A 14,726-nucleotide genomic window follows, 5' to 3' on the forward strand; every position below is an offset into this window, starting at 1 on the left:
CTTCCTATTTGTAAAATCTTAGCATTGGTAAGGACCTGAGAATTCAGTTAATGTAAGGACCCACGTACTAGAAGAATCCTCTCTCTGGCATCTACAACAGATGGGCATTCAGCTTGAGTGAATATTTTTGATGATAATCTCACTCTTCCCAAGCAGCTCATTTAATTATTAGCAATTTCTTCCTTTTACTTTATTTAGATGAAAACTATGTCTTTGTAATTTCTGTGGGCTAATGAATTCTGCCCTTAGGAGTCACATGAAATTCAGCAGCTCTTGAAATTTGTTAGAGCAGCAATCATTTTCCTGCTTTGAATTCTCTTTTTCTAGGCTAAAGGTCCCAATATCATTCAGTTATTTGTTTTATGACGTGGTTTCAAATTGCATCATTATCTTCTAGCTCTGACAGATTTTTTCTCTCTAAAATAGATTGCTCAGAACCGAATGTAAGATTTAAGATGCAATATAAATACTGAGAACTGAGGGGCTGTTACTGTCCACAGTCTTCTGGATAGAGAATCAAATCCAGGAGGTCAGAGACTAAGTTTGTCTTTCTTACTAGAGTAGCCCCACTACTTAGCATAGGAATGCTCTGGTCACTATAAGTCTAGAAATGCAGATAAAGATTGTAAGCTGTTTTAGAATTTCATTTCTGTTGGGGCATGTTCTGTCAAGGACTTAAGATCCTTTTTAGTGTGTGAACTATTGTCAAATTGGGTAACCTCCAAGGGTAGAGGTTAGTGAGGTAGGCAAAATTCAAATCATTCTAGTATGTAATTTAAGTGAGAAGTGAAGAAGACTCATACAAACATAAAAGCAGTAGAGAAGCTGAAAAATAGACTGGTTCTAAATATATTTTGGCGGTAGAGTGTATACGATGAACAGATGGATTTGATTAGGAAGGGAAATGGAGAAGGCTAAGAGAAGGACAGCACTTAGGATTCTGCTTTGAGATACTGGATGGTATGATTGAGCCACTTATGGGAACAGGAAAAACAGAATTAAGAATTTAATTTTGGACATGTTTTATTGAGATACTTGCAAGATATTAATCTCTCTTCTCTATTTCAGTTTTTCAGTTTTGTTTTTGTTTTTTTTTTTTGAGATGGAGTCTTGCTCTGTCGCCCAGGCTGGAGTGCCGTGGCGTGATCTTGGCTCACTGCAACCTCCGCCTCCCGGGTTCAAGAGATTCTCCTGCCTCAGCCTCCAAAGTAGCTGGGATTACAGGCATGCGCCACCACCCCTGGCTAATTTTGTATTTTTAGTAGAGATGGGGTTTCTCCATGTTGGTCAGGCTGGTCTCAAACTCCTGACCTCAGGTGATCACCTGCCTCAGCCTCCCAAAGTGCTGGGATTACAGGCATGAGCCACCGTGCCTGGCCAATTTTTTTTTGTATTTTTAGTAGAGATGGGGTTTTACCATGTTGGTCAGGCTGGTCTCAAACTCCTGACCTCAGGTAATCCACCCACCTCAGGCTCCCAAAGTGCTGGAATTACAGGCGTGAGTTACCGTGCCCGGCCTTATTTTGGTTCTATTACCATTTACCAAAGTGGGCTAAAGGAGGTATATTATAAAAATGCCTTTAGGATCTGATATGCAACTGCCTGGATTAATAAGAAGTGTGCTAGTGAGAATATGCTAGAGAAACTAAGGGCAGCAGGAGTTCTTAAACCTTGGTTGCAAGGCTTTTCAAGTTTCTCTGCTCAGTATTGATTTCAGCTTCCCTAGGGATTCCCATTGTGAATATTCACTGATAACCTGAATTTACCCAGTCATTTGTTGAATTTCCCTCTGTCTCTAGCCTCTTCTGCCTCCACTTTATCTACTTCCTTACTTAAAAGCTTTCAGTGGCTCTCAGGAATCAAGTCCCAACAATTTAGCATGATATTCAAGTCATTTCATAATGTGTCTTTGCCTGTCTCTTCCTGTCTCATTCTACACGTACACTCTGGAAAGAGTAAAAGAAGAAATATGTGGCCAGGCGCGGTGGCTCACGCCTGTAATCCCAGCACTTTGGGAGGCCGAGATGGGTGGATCACGAGGTCAGGAGCTCGAGAACATCCTGGCTAACACGGTGAAACCCCGTCTCTAATAAAAATACAAAAAATTAGCCGGGCATGGTGGCGGGCTGAGGCAGGAGAATGGCGTGAACCCGGGAGGCGGAGCTTGCAGTGAGCTGAGATCCCGCCACTGCACTCCAGCCTGGGTGACAGAGTGAGACTCCATCTCAAAAAAAAAAAAAAAAAAAAAGAAAGAAAGAAAGAAATATGTACATGGGCGGGGAACTTGAAACTGGTAGAAATAGAGGTGGTCTTAGCCAGATTGAATAGTCTGTGCATAACTTCTCAACAGATAGGGGTTTAGTTAACAGAGAAGCATCTCTGAGGTAGAAGCATCTGAAGTACTGTGTTTTACAGAGACAGATACTAGCCTGATAATTTACAACAGAATTATCACCATGTTTAATGGTTTCATTAATGCATGACTCCATGATCTGAAGCAAATTTTTTAACCACCCAGAGTTTATTTTCTGGGAAATGAGAATGTCTACCTTGTAGAGTGGTTTAAGGCATGTAGAATAATGTGTGGCATTTAGGTATTCAATACATGCTAGCTGCTATTATTATTGTTACTGTTGGAATCTAATTTTTTTATTTTTGAGAGATAGGGTTTCACTTTGTCACCCATGCTGGAGTGTAATGGCAGGATCATGACTCACTGTAGCCTTGACCTCTGAGGCTCAAGTGATCCTCCTACCTCAGACTCCCAAGTAGCTGGGATTACAGGGGCATGTCACCATACTTGGCTAATTTTTTATTTTTTGCAGAGACGAGGCCTTTCTATGTTGCCTAGGATGGACTCAAACTCCTGGGCTCAAGCTATCCTCCTGCCTTGGCCTCCCAAAGTGCTGGGATTACAGGTGTAAGCCACCGTGCCTGGCCATGGAATTTTAAACGGTAGCTCTTTTCTAACCGTATCTCCCCCTGCTGCCCTGTTGTAGCCCTATTCAGCTAGTCTGGAATTCTTACTAGTTTCTTTGGATTTACAATGTTCTTAATAATACTGGTTCTGCGTGGAATTCCCTTTGCCCATTGCACTTCAAGTCTCTTTCTATTGACATCTATACTCCTCCCTCAAAGCATTATTTATTTATTTTTTGAGATGGAGTCTTACTCTTTTGCCCAGGTTGGAGTGCAGTGGTGGGATCTTGGCTCAGTGCAACCTCTGCCTCCTGGGTTCAAGCCATTCTCCTGCCTCAGCCTCCCAAGTAGCTAGGATTATAAGTGTGCACCACCATGTGCAGCTAATTGTTGTATTTTTAGTACAGACAGAGTTTCACCATGTTGGCCAAGCTGGTCACAAATTCCTGACCTCAGTTGATCTGCCTGCCTTGGCCTCCCAAAGTGCTGGGATTACAGGTGTGAGCCACTGTGCCCAGTGGTTTTTTATTTTTTTTCTTCTCAGTGAGCTAATTTGAAGAGTAATACCTAGAATTAAATCATCAAACTTCATCCCTAAATGGTGATTATAAAGGAAATTTTATTAATGCTGCCAAACTGCAATGTTTTTGTGAAGTTTTCAACTCAAGAAGCATTAATGGAGCACTGACTCAATGTTACAGAGATGTAAAAAAAAATGAAAGATAACCATTCAGTCTTTTCAGTCTGTTCAGTATGTTTTTCTTTTTTTTTTTTTTTTTAAAGGTTTGATTTGTCTGAAATTAACAGATGCACACTTTTAAAACAAGTATATCTTTGATACCAGATGGGGTGTAATTCATAGGGTTTTGAGGATTAGGATTGAGATGGAACGGTAACTCGTCACTTTTTCTTCAGTGTTGTGTAGATTCTTTGTTTGTTTGTTTGTTTAAATCAAAAGACCTCTTTCTGACATTAAGTAAATGGATACCTCCTTTTGGATTTTATATCCAGAATGAAAATAGTGTCATTTACATAGGAAGAGCTTGTTTGTAGAGCATTTATCCTGTTTTTGCTGCTTGACTTCTTTATATCTTTTCCTCTGTACCCGTCCTATCATTTGTAACACGAGGAACATGACTGCATGGCATTTGTCTGGAAGAACATGACTGCATGGCATTTGTCTAGAGAAGTATATTTGAGCTTTTAGTAAGTGATCCATAGGGTTTTTTTTTCTTTTTGCTATTTATTTATTTGTTTAATTCATATTAACCTCAGAGCTAACTGAAAGTATCAGTGAGCTTTATCAGTTTCATTTTATATTCTCTTTTTTTTTTTAAGAACATAGATGCAAACTCTCCTTAATCATTCATTTTTATGTTTTTTCTTGTATAGACTGAGTTGTAGCATCTTTGCTGGATACTGCATTGTTTGAATTCCTGATTGTTTTCTAGCATTTAATGTATGGTATTAACTGAAGTTGGTTTCAGTAGAATTCTTTTGCCTTTCTACCTCTGTGCCTGTTCCTTAATTATGTTTTCATTTATTCTTATGTTCGGCTTGTTTTTTACATATGTCCCATTATGTGGCAAAATGTCTCAATTCTGTACTCATAGATGTTATCCTCTAACTCTTCATATGTCTTAATTGGGTTTGGATCATAATCCCAAAAGACACAATCCTAAACACCATAATCCGAAATGTTAAAATCCTGAAAGATCAAAATCCCTGAATCCTAAATCCCTGAAGTCTAAAATCCCTAATGTCTACAATCCCCAAAATCACAATCACAGGGTAGTTGCTTCATGTTAGGCAGAACTATTACTTTGTTGTGTTTATTTGGAAATTAAATATGGTTTAAGGAGATGCATATAGATGCCAAGTGGACAAGGGGTAGACTTATAGACTTAATTTTGGAGATGTCAGTTTGACTGGATTAAGGAATACCTAGAAACCTGGTAAAATATTCTTTGGGGTATGTCTGTGAGGATGTTTCCAGAGGAGATTAGTGTGTAAGTCTTGTGGATTAGGTGGGGAAGATCTGCCCTCATTTTTGGTGGGTATCATTAAATTGGCTGGGGGGCCCGGAAAGAACAAATAGAGAAGACACGTGTCTCTGACAGCTGGGACAGACTTCTTCTGCTGTGTTGGGCATCAGAACTATAGGCTTCTCAGCCTTTGGACTCAAGGACTTATACCAGTAGCCCCTCCAGGTCTTGAGGATGAGAGTTATACCATCAACTTTTCTGGTTCTGAGGCCTTTAGTCTTGGACTGAGCTATGCCACTGGCATCCTAGAGTCTCCAGCTTGCACACAGCCTGTTGTGGGACTTCTCAGCCACCACAATCATGTGAGCCAATTCCCCTAGTAAATCCTCTGTCATGTATCTATATACATATCCTATTGGTTCTGTCACTCTGGAGAACCCTGACTAATACAGATTTGATATTAGAGAAGCTGAATGTCATTCCTTTTACTTGCAACACAATGAAATATCTGTGAAATTGTTTCCTCACAGAAAGGCTGTGATAAGTTAAGTGTATGAGGCTACTTAGTGGTGAAAGATAAAAGTTTAAAAGCTAATTATTATTGCTGCTGTGAAAGCAGAGTATTGCTTAACTGCAATGGCCAAGCAATACCAAAACTTTCCAATGGACCACATATACTTACAAAATTTGTAGACCACAACCACTCTCCAAATACAAGTGCGGTGAGTGTTTTGAAGACCATACAAGAATTGAAAATGCATGCGAAAAATACAAGAGATCTCCCCTGCCAAATTATATTCAATTGTGTACGACTACTGCCCCTTCACACATGCCCCTTCATACTTGCCTTTAAAAAACACCCTTCATTACAGAATAAAAAGAATTTGACAAGCTCGGTGACCTTCTGAACCAAATACACTTGTCGATATTGAGGTTCCTCCACTGTTGCAAAACATGTTAAATGGTGAACTATTCTTGATTAGGGATTTGACTGTCAAAGAGGATAGACTTCTTATATTTACCACTAAATCTAATATAGCAAAACTAGCACATGCTTCACTTTGGCTAATGGATGGTACTTTTGAAACTGTCCTCACTTTTTTTTTTTTTAATCACTTGTATACAATTCATGCCCCCATTGAATCTGAAAATTCTAGAACTAATCTACTAGTTTATGTATTAGTGACTGGAAAAAGTGAAACACCTTATAAATGTTTATTTGAAGATTTGGCAGACTTGGCAGAAGAAAATGGATTTTGATTGAATCCCCGAACCATAATGACAGATTTGGAATGAGGTGCAATCAAGGCTTCTAAAAGTGAATTTCAAAATGTTATGAATAAACTTTGTTCCATTCAACCCCAATGCATTTGGCAGAAAATTCAGATGAATGGATTGGCCACACAATACAGCAAGGATGAAAGTTTCAGTTTAAAAGTGCATTGTGGCAGGTTCACATTATCCCAGCACTTTGGTAGGCCAAGACGGGAAGATCACTTGAGCCTAGGAGTTCGAGACCAGCCTGGCAAAACATGGTGAAACCCCATCTGTCCCCAAAATACAAAAACAAATTAGCCAGACTTGGTGGTGCGTGCTTGTAGTTTCAGCTACTTAGGAGGCTGAGGTAGAAGGATGGTTTGAGCCGGGGAGATGGAGGTTGCAGTGAGCTGAGATTATGCCATTGCACTCCAGCCTGGGCCACAGAGCCAGAACCTGTCTCAAAAAAATAAAATAATAAAATACATTTAAAAAATTTAAAAAGCACATTATGATGTCACTAGGGGAGGGTTGAGAAAAAAAATAAAGTGCATTATAGGTATGGTGGCTCACTTCTGTAATCCCAGCACTTTGGGAGGCTGAGGCAGGAGGATCATTTGAGCCCAGGAGTTTGAAACCAGCCTGGGCAACATGGTGAAACTCCATCTTTAAAAAAAATTTTTTTTTTTTTAATTAGCTGGGCATGGTTGTGTGTACCTGTAGTTCCAGCTACTTGGGAGGCTGAGGTGGGAGAATTGCCTGAGCCCAGGAAGTTGAGGTTGAAGTGAGCCGAGATTGTGCCACTGCACTCTTGCCTGGGTGGAGTCAGAACCTGTCTCAAAAAAAGTGCATTATTTTTATTTTTAAAGTGTATTATTTGCCTGCATTGGCATTCCTTCCAGCTGATGATATTCCAGGAGTTTTTTTTTTTTTTTTTTTTGAGATAGAGTCTCACTCTGTCACCCAGGCTGGAATGCAGTGGTGCAATCTCGGCTCACTGCAACCTCGACTGCCTGGCCTCCCGAGTAGCGGGGATTACAGACGTCCGCCACCAGGCCCAGCTAGTTTTTGTATTTTTAGTAGAGACAGGGTTTTACCACTTTGGCCAGGCTGGCCTCGAACTCCTGACCTCAGGTGATCTGCCCATCTCAGCCTCCCAAAGTGCTTGGATTACAGGCGTGAGCCACCGTGCCTGTCCTCCAGGAGCTTTTAATAAATTAAAACTGCATCTGTCTGAAGAAACCAGTGAAGTTACCGACTGGTTCAAAAATAATTACGTGCACAGTAGGATAAGAAGACACACAATGGTGTTTCTGTTTGATCACCAGTATTGTTTCCACCAAATTTATGGTCTGCATATGAGTACTTGTGAAACAAATTTCTGCATGCCTAAAACAACATATATGCATAACACAAAAGATGGGAAAATTTAACAGGAAATGCTCATGTCCATGTATGTCGAATCATAGAAGAATTTCAAAAAGAGCAGCACCATGTATAAAATGAATGTGAATGTATTCTCTGAGGAGAGCCATGCTCTAAAAGGAAAAAAGCAGCTATTCGTGGTGATGTAAGACTTCAAAATATAAATGATTGTGAAAGTCTGCCTGCTCTTATGGACCGCCTCTGCACAATTGCCCAGAATCTATTGCTGTAATATACTTTTTCATATGTTGAGTTTTCTTTTTAGTTTTTAAAAGTTTTTTCCCCACTTGTTCAAATTGCCAGCATTATTTTTTACAATATGCTGTGCTCTGTATTTCATCTTCACATCATTTCCATTACTGGAGGTATAAATTGTGTCAAGACTTTTAGAGAGTTCGAATGTGTTTTATGCATTTTTCGCATATTTGCAAATTTGACTCCACAAGGTCCATTTTCACAACATTGACTTCGTGTGTAAGCATTGTGCATGTATGTAAAATGCTCTTTGGGCAACTGTAATATGTGGTGGCAGCCCATCATGGTTTTTTTTTCTTTTTAATTTTTATTTTTATTATTTTTATTTTTTATTTTCTTTAAATTTTATTATTATTATACTTTAAGTTTTAGGGTACATGTGCACAATGTGCAGGTTTGTTACATATGTATACGTGTGCCATGTTGGTGTGCTGCACCCATTAACTCGTCATTTAGCATTAGGTATATCTCCTAATGCTATCCCTCCCCCCTTCCCCACCCCACGACAGTCCCCGGTGTGTGATGTTCCCCTTCCTGTGTCCATGTGTTCTCGTTGTTCAATTCCCACCTATGAGTGAGAACATGCGGTGTTTGGATTTTTGTCCTTGCGATAGTTTGCTGAGAATGATGGTTTCCAGCTTCATCCATGTCCCTACAAAGGACATGAACTCATCATTTTTTATGGCTGCTTCTTTTTAATTTTTAATGACCAAAACAAAGCATCTAAAACCACAGCTTCTGGAAGAACTACTTGTTCTTGCCTGTCTTTTATCTCTTTTCAAACTTGACCTTGGCCTCTCGTCGGGCTTTGGGCATTAGGTGATTGTAGTTACAAACTTTCGCAAAAGACTTGATCTTTGACCCCTTGGTGATCTTCTTCTTGCCCATGGCAGCTGTCACTTTGCAGGGGTAGTGGTCAATTCCAGACACCAGAGCATGGCTGTAGGGGCAATCTGAGGTGCTATCATCAATGTTCTTCACGATGACGGCTTTGCATCCAGAGTAGCGTCCAGCCAGGACAAGCACCACCTTCCCAGGTTTCATGAACTTGCCCATTTCGGCAGCAACCACTCGGGCCTACAGCAAAAAGCCCATCATGGTTTTTGATTGATCTTAAGACTTAGGTTGTTTGTCGTGGTATTTCAGATGACTGCAGTTATATAAGCTATTTTTTTATGAATACACCTTGTCTGCTCATAACTTATACCTGTATGACTGTCATTAGTATACCCAAGTGTTTATGCTTGCAAAATATGTATGTTGTTTTTGCCTATTTTATCATGTAAAGTAGCCTATGAAGTGTTCTGTTATGTTTTTATGTTTCTCAAATAAATCCCCCTTAAAAATGTAAATACATATCTTTAAATTTTTTTTTAAATTCCTTTTTCCAGAATTATATTTTTGGGATTTTGGTCTTTTGGGATTTCAACACTCAGGATTATGCCATTGAGGACTATATCTTTCAGGATTATGATTGGCTCCTGTCCTAATCATTACTTCCTAAATGTGGCACAGAGATATTATCAATGGAGATACCCAGAACACTGAATCTGGGCACTTGTCACAGCTGGGTAGGAAACTTGGATTTGCCATACTCTATGTTTAAAGATTACAAAGTCTGATTAAGTGCCAAAAAGAGTTTTTAAAAATGTTAATGGTTCACTTTTCACATTTAATGTGTTGCATCATTTGTTTCATTCATTAATTAACAAGGATTTATTTGTTGAGCACTTATTGTGTCAAGTATTTCCTGCTCTTCATATTCCACTTGCTAAAAGCAGCTTTTTATAGTCTTTGTTTCTAGGCATTTTGCAGTACGTTCTCAAAGTGATTGTAATGGTGGTTTTCTGTGCTTCCTACTCAAAATGTGCTCAGTGGGCCAGCAGCATTGGCAACATCTTATTAGAATTGTAGAATCTCAGGCCCCTTTCCAGACCTATTGAATCAGACCCCTTATAGTGAAGCAGGATATTTGCCTGACCTCTTCATGGGAATTGTGACAGGCGTACCTTGTTTACTGAGCCTGCCACTCTCAACTCCTTGTGGGAAGGAGCGTGCGAGTGAACGAGGTGGGAACTGGAGTGCACAAGCGCTGGAACGAGCTGACTGCCTTGGTGCTTGCAGTACTCAAGGCCACGCGGGCCTCACAGCAGTATCCAGGGGGCAGTATCTGCATCCCTCCAAGCCCCAGAGGGCATGTTACAGTGCTCTTTTAGCTTCGACATGCCATCCACGAACAGCTTAAGTGTTAGCAGCTCAGTGGGCCCTTTGCCTTTTTGAGTGAGGTGCTGCCCTCTGCCAGTGAGGTCAGAGGGCCAGTGTGACAGCCTTTTGTATCTGCACACATGGCTCCCGTGCTCTTGTCCGGTGTCCAGGAAAAATGAGGTCACAGGAATGAATTGAAGAATGGTAAATACAGGGGATTTTATTGCTGATGAAAGTGGCTCTCAGCGGGAAGGGGAGCTGAAAAGGGGCCGGGGGTGGGTAGATTATCTTCCTCTGAAGTACAGCCATCTCCAGCCGAATTCTTCTCTGAAGTTACACCATCAAGCTATCCCTCTGAAGTCAAGCTGCTTCTCTCCAACATCCAGCTGTTTCTCCTCCCTCCCAGCTGAGTCTGGGGTTTTTATAGGCACAGGATGGGGTGAGGTGGGGCCATGGGTGGTTTAGGAAAAGGCAACATTCCAGTGGGAAAACAGGGATATAAAGTCTCACTTTGGGCTGCAGTCTCATGCTTTTCTGTTTGAGGGTAGGGTTTCGTCAGAGACCCGTCCTTTTCTGCCTAGAATTTCTCTGCCCCTTTGTCTGTATCAATAGTGGTTTTAAACAAAATTTATTTTGAATTTTTCTTTCATTATACTGGTTAAAGTTGAAACAAGAATGTAAACTCCATGATGACATAGACCTTGACTGTTTTGTTTACTGTTGTATTTCTAGCACGTAGCATCAGTCCTGTGCTAGGTGCCTGATAAGAATTTGTTGAATGAATCAATTAGTATCATGCATTTGAAGTAAATTTACTTGAATAAATTTAGAGAATGCCTTTGCAGTTTGTATTTATCAGATATATTCAGTGAAATCAATTCATTTTTTTAAAAAACTTAGGTTTTTTTTTTTTTTTGAGACAAGGTGTTGCTCTGTCACCTAGGCTGGCATGCAGTGGCATGATCATGGCTCACTGTAGCGTCAGCCTCCTGGATTCAAGTGATTCTTCTGCCTCAGCTTCCCAAGTAGCTGGAACTATAGGCACATGCCACCCATACCTGGCTAATTTTTAAATTTTTTATAAATACGATGTTTTGCTATGTTGCCCAAGCTGGTCTTGAACTCCTGAGCTCAAGTGATCCTCCTGCCTCGACCTCCCAAATTGCTGGGATTACAGGCGTGAGCCACCATGCCCAGCCCCCAAAAACTTTTTTTTTGTTTTTGAGATGGAGTCTCGCTCTGTTGCCCAGGCTGGAGTACAATGGCATGATCTCAGCTCACCACAACCTCCGCCTCCCAGTTTCAAGTGATTCTCCTGCCTTAGCTTCCTGAGTAGCTGGATTACAAGCGCCTGCCACCATGCCCGGCTAATTTTTGTATTTTTAGTAGAGACGGGGCTTCACCATGCTGACCAGGCTGGTCTCAAACTCCTGACCTCAGGTGATCTGCCCGCCTCGGCCTCCCAAAGTGCTGGGATTACAGCCGTGAGCCACTGTGCCTGGCCTAAAACTTTTATTAATACCTATTATGTGTCAGGTACTGTTCTAGGCATTGGGTATACAATGATAAAAAAAAAATATGTCAAGGTTCATGTCCTTATAGAACTTTTAGCTGGAGAGAGGGAAGAAAGACATTTTAGCTGGAGAGAGGGAAGAAAGACAATAAACTGGTAAACAAATATGTTAACAAAATAATTACAGATAATAAGTGCAGTAGTCCTGTAAGGGTATCTGGGGGCATGAAGGCCAATACTTCAGCTAGGTTATGTAGGGAGGCCTCCTAAGGCATAAGACAGTAATGATATGAAGGAGACCAGCCTTCAAATAGGCAGGAGAAGAGCAGTGTAAGTAGAGAGAGCAGCAAGTGTGAAGGGCCTGAAGAGGGAATGAGCTAAATATAGTTTGTTCATTCATTCAGATTGTTAACATCCAGATAAAGTTACTTCATTTAGGCTTGTCTGGTGCAGTGGTGCTTACAGCTAATTGATCACAACCAGTTATAGATGTCTTTGTTTCTTCTCGACTCCCACTGCTTCACCTCACTAGCCTTAAAAATTTTTTTTTTTATTTTAAAATTTTTTTTTATTATACTCTAAGTTTTAGGGTACCTGTGCACATTGTGCAGGTTAGTTACATATGTATACATGTGCCATGCTGGTGCGCTGCACCCACTAACGTGTCATCTAGCATTAGGTATATCTCCCAATGCTATCCCTCCCCCCTCCCCCGACCCCACCACAGTCCCCAGAGTGTGATATTCCCCTTCCTGTGTCCATGTGATCTCATTGTTCAATTCCCACCTATGAGTGAGAATATGCGGTGTTTGGTTTTTTGTTCTTGCGATAGTTTACTGAGAATGATGGTTTCCAATTTCATCCATGTCCCTACAAAGGACATGAACTCATCATTTTTTATGGCTGCATATTTTTTAATTACTTTATTTAATACAGAGAAGATGAGAAGACAATGTAAATGCTGCTTTGTGAGTGATGGGAAGAAGTACTTTTAGTGATAGCAGTGAATCAAAGCATAAGGTCATCAATAGTCGACTTCATTGCCCAGTGTTTTCAAAGTCCCCACGTGTGTTGGTTATTCTTTAGTAAAGTAGACGTGACAATGCTCGTTGGCTGTTATTGTGAAGCTTGACTTATAATACTGGGATTTTGAGATCAAGAGGCTAGAAGCCAAGATGTTTGAAATATGTAAGGTCAGCTGCCTGCTCTTTCCTCCTCCCCTACGAGTGAATCAACACTTGCTTTATAAGTTTTTCTTCTCTATCTCCTTTCTCTATTGTTAGTTTCACTTCCTACTCTTAAAAATTCTGAGCTTTCAAAATCATGTTTATCAGGAGAAAAAAGAGACTGAAAGAGCTTAAAATGGGATACCTCTGGCCGGGTGCGGTAGTTCACGCCTGTAATCCCAGCTCTTAGGGAGGCAGAGGCGGGAGGATAGCTTGAGCCCAGGAGTTCGAGACCTGCCTGGGCAATATAGCAAGACCCCATTCTCCACAAAAAGGAAAAAAAAAAGGGATACCTCTGAAAGAGGTTGTAATTTGGAATTGTAACATGAAAACCTAAGGAAATTTTTTGCAGTATTTCAACTGTATATTTGTCGTTGCTGTTATCCAGTCTTACAACAAACTATCAGAATTTTACTTTTGCAATTTTAATAGAGAAGTCTCTGCATCCTAAGAAATGTAAAGAAAAAGAACAATAAAGACTGGGGGAACTTTTAAATTTCATCGTCTCTTGGTGTGTGGAGAATTTTGCAGGGAATAATTCCTGCAAATCCTACACCTTCAGATTGATACCCTCAAAGGACACTAAACCACAGTCCTTTTTTAAGGAAGGATAAAACTGTATTTACTGTATACAGTTCTAGGCATTGGATTTAATATGTGATGTATTTCACTAAGGTGGCCTCCGTGGGTACTATTTTAAGCTACTCTCTCTGTGTGCATATCTTTAGTGACTCAAGGCATTAATATTTTATTCAGGATGTGTAGATAAGATATTTTTGTAATTTAATGGAAAGTCTCATGTTTAATGGGTTTGAATTCTGTTTGTTGGCAATTAAATACCTAAGTATATTAATTTTTTAGGGTTTAGGGTTTTGCCAACAGTAATGTGTTTTGCTTATAAGAGCCCCCCTTTTCTATCTTCTTTTTAATAGCAACATCATGACAACAGAGAAGAGTTTAGTGACTGAGGCCGAAAATTCACAGCACCAACAGAAGGAAGAGGGTGAGGAAGCCATAAACTCAGGCCAACAAGAACCTCAGCAGGAGGAATCTTGTCAAACAGCAGCTGAAGGAGATAATTGGTGTGAACAGAAGCTGAAAGCTTCTAATGGAGACACTCCTACACATGAAGACTTGACCAAGAACAAGGAGCGGACATCAGAAAGCAGAGGACTTTCACGACTATTCTCCTCGTTTCTCAAAAGGCCCAAATCTCAGGTGTCCGAGGAAGAAGGCAAAGAAGTAGAGTCAGATAAAGAAAAAGGTGAAGGAGGTCAGAAAGAGATAGAATTTGGAACCAGTCTTGATGAAGAGATCATTTTAAAGGCCCCAATTGCAGCTCCTGAACCGGAACTCAAAACAGACCCATCTTTGGATCTTCATTCATTAAGCAGTGCAGAAACACAGGTAAGGATGTGTGGATATGGGAGGTGGGCAAAGGAAGGCAGGTTATACACTTTATTTTTCATTTAAGAGTATTTGGGCTGGGCGCGGTGGCTCATGCCTGTAATTCCACCACTTTGGGAGGCCGAGGCAGGCGGATCAACTGAGGTCAGGAGTTCGAGACCAGCCTGGCCAACATGGCCAAACCCTGTCTCTACTAAAAGTACAAAAATTAGCCGGGCCTGATGGCGGGTGCCTGTAATCCCAGCTACTCAGGAGGCTGAGACAGGAGAAGTTGAACTCGGGAGGCGGAGGCTGCAGTGAGCTGAGATCGTGCCACTGCATTCCAGCCTAGGCAACAAGGATGAGATTCCGTCTCAACAACGGGGGGATAAAAAAAGTACTTGGTTTTATTTCTTACTAGCTAGTTGACTTAGGCATTGATAGTGATAAGTAGCATCATAAAGCTTTATAGTTTCTACTCTATTTTTTTTTTGAGACTGAGTCTTGCTCTGTCACCCAGGCTGGAGTGCAGTGGTGTGATCTCGGCCCACTGCA

The 14,726-nt window shown here is 40.7% G+C and overlaps 1 protein-coding gene and 1 pseudogene across 70 annotated transcripts in view, besides 1 other annotated feature; one reads left to right on the forward strand and one right to left on the reverse strand.

The window, feature by feature from the left end:
- Nucleotides 1-14,726, forward strand: part of EPB41 (erythrocyte membrane protein band 4.1) — a 232,942-nt gene that overhangs the window by 86,614 nt on the left and 131,602 nt on the right. For 61 of the 70 annotated variants that reach the window (NM_203342.3, NM_001166005.2, NM_203343.3 and 58 more), the window contains exon 2: nt 13,718-14,192. Coding sequence is in view for 60 of the 70 variants with exons in the window: in NM_001166005.2 (NP_001159477.1) it covers nt 13,725-14,192 (468 nt within the window). In the remaining 10 variants the exon portion in view is untranslated. The remainder of the gene's footprint in view (nt 1-13,717; nt 14,193-14,726) is intronic. The other 9 variants (NM_004437.4, NM_001376022.1, NM_001166007.2 and 6 more) reach the window with 1 other exon arrangement.
- Nucleotides 3,570-3,770: a silencer, noted in NCBI's record as "peak137 fragment used in MPRA reporter construct". NCBI's record gives its function as "represses an SCP1 promoter by STARR-seq MPRAs in K562 erythroleukemia cells {active_cell/tissue: K562}" and the evidence as "EXISTENCE:reporter gene assay evidence [ECO:0000049][PMID:32103011]".
- On the reverse strand, nt 8,531-8,931 carry RPL27P4 (ribosomal protein L27 pseudogene 4; annotated as a pseudogene).

The sequence above is a fragment of the Homo sapiens genome, chromosome 1, assembly GCF_000001405.40.
Source record: "Homo sapiens chromosome 1, GRCh38.p14 Primary Assembly".
Classification (NCBI taxonomy): Eukaryota; Metazoa; Chordata; class Mammalia; order Primates; family Hominidae; genus Homo; species Homo sapiens.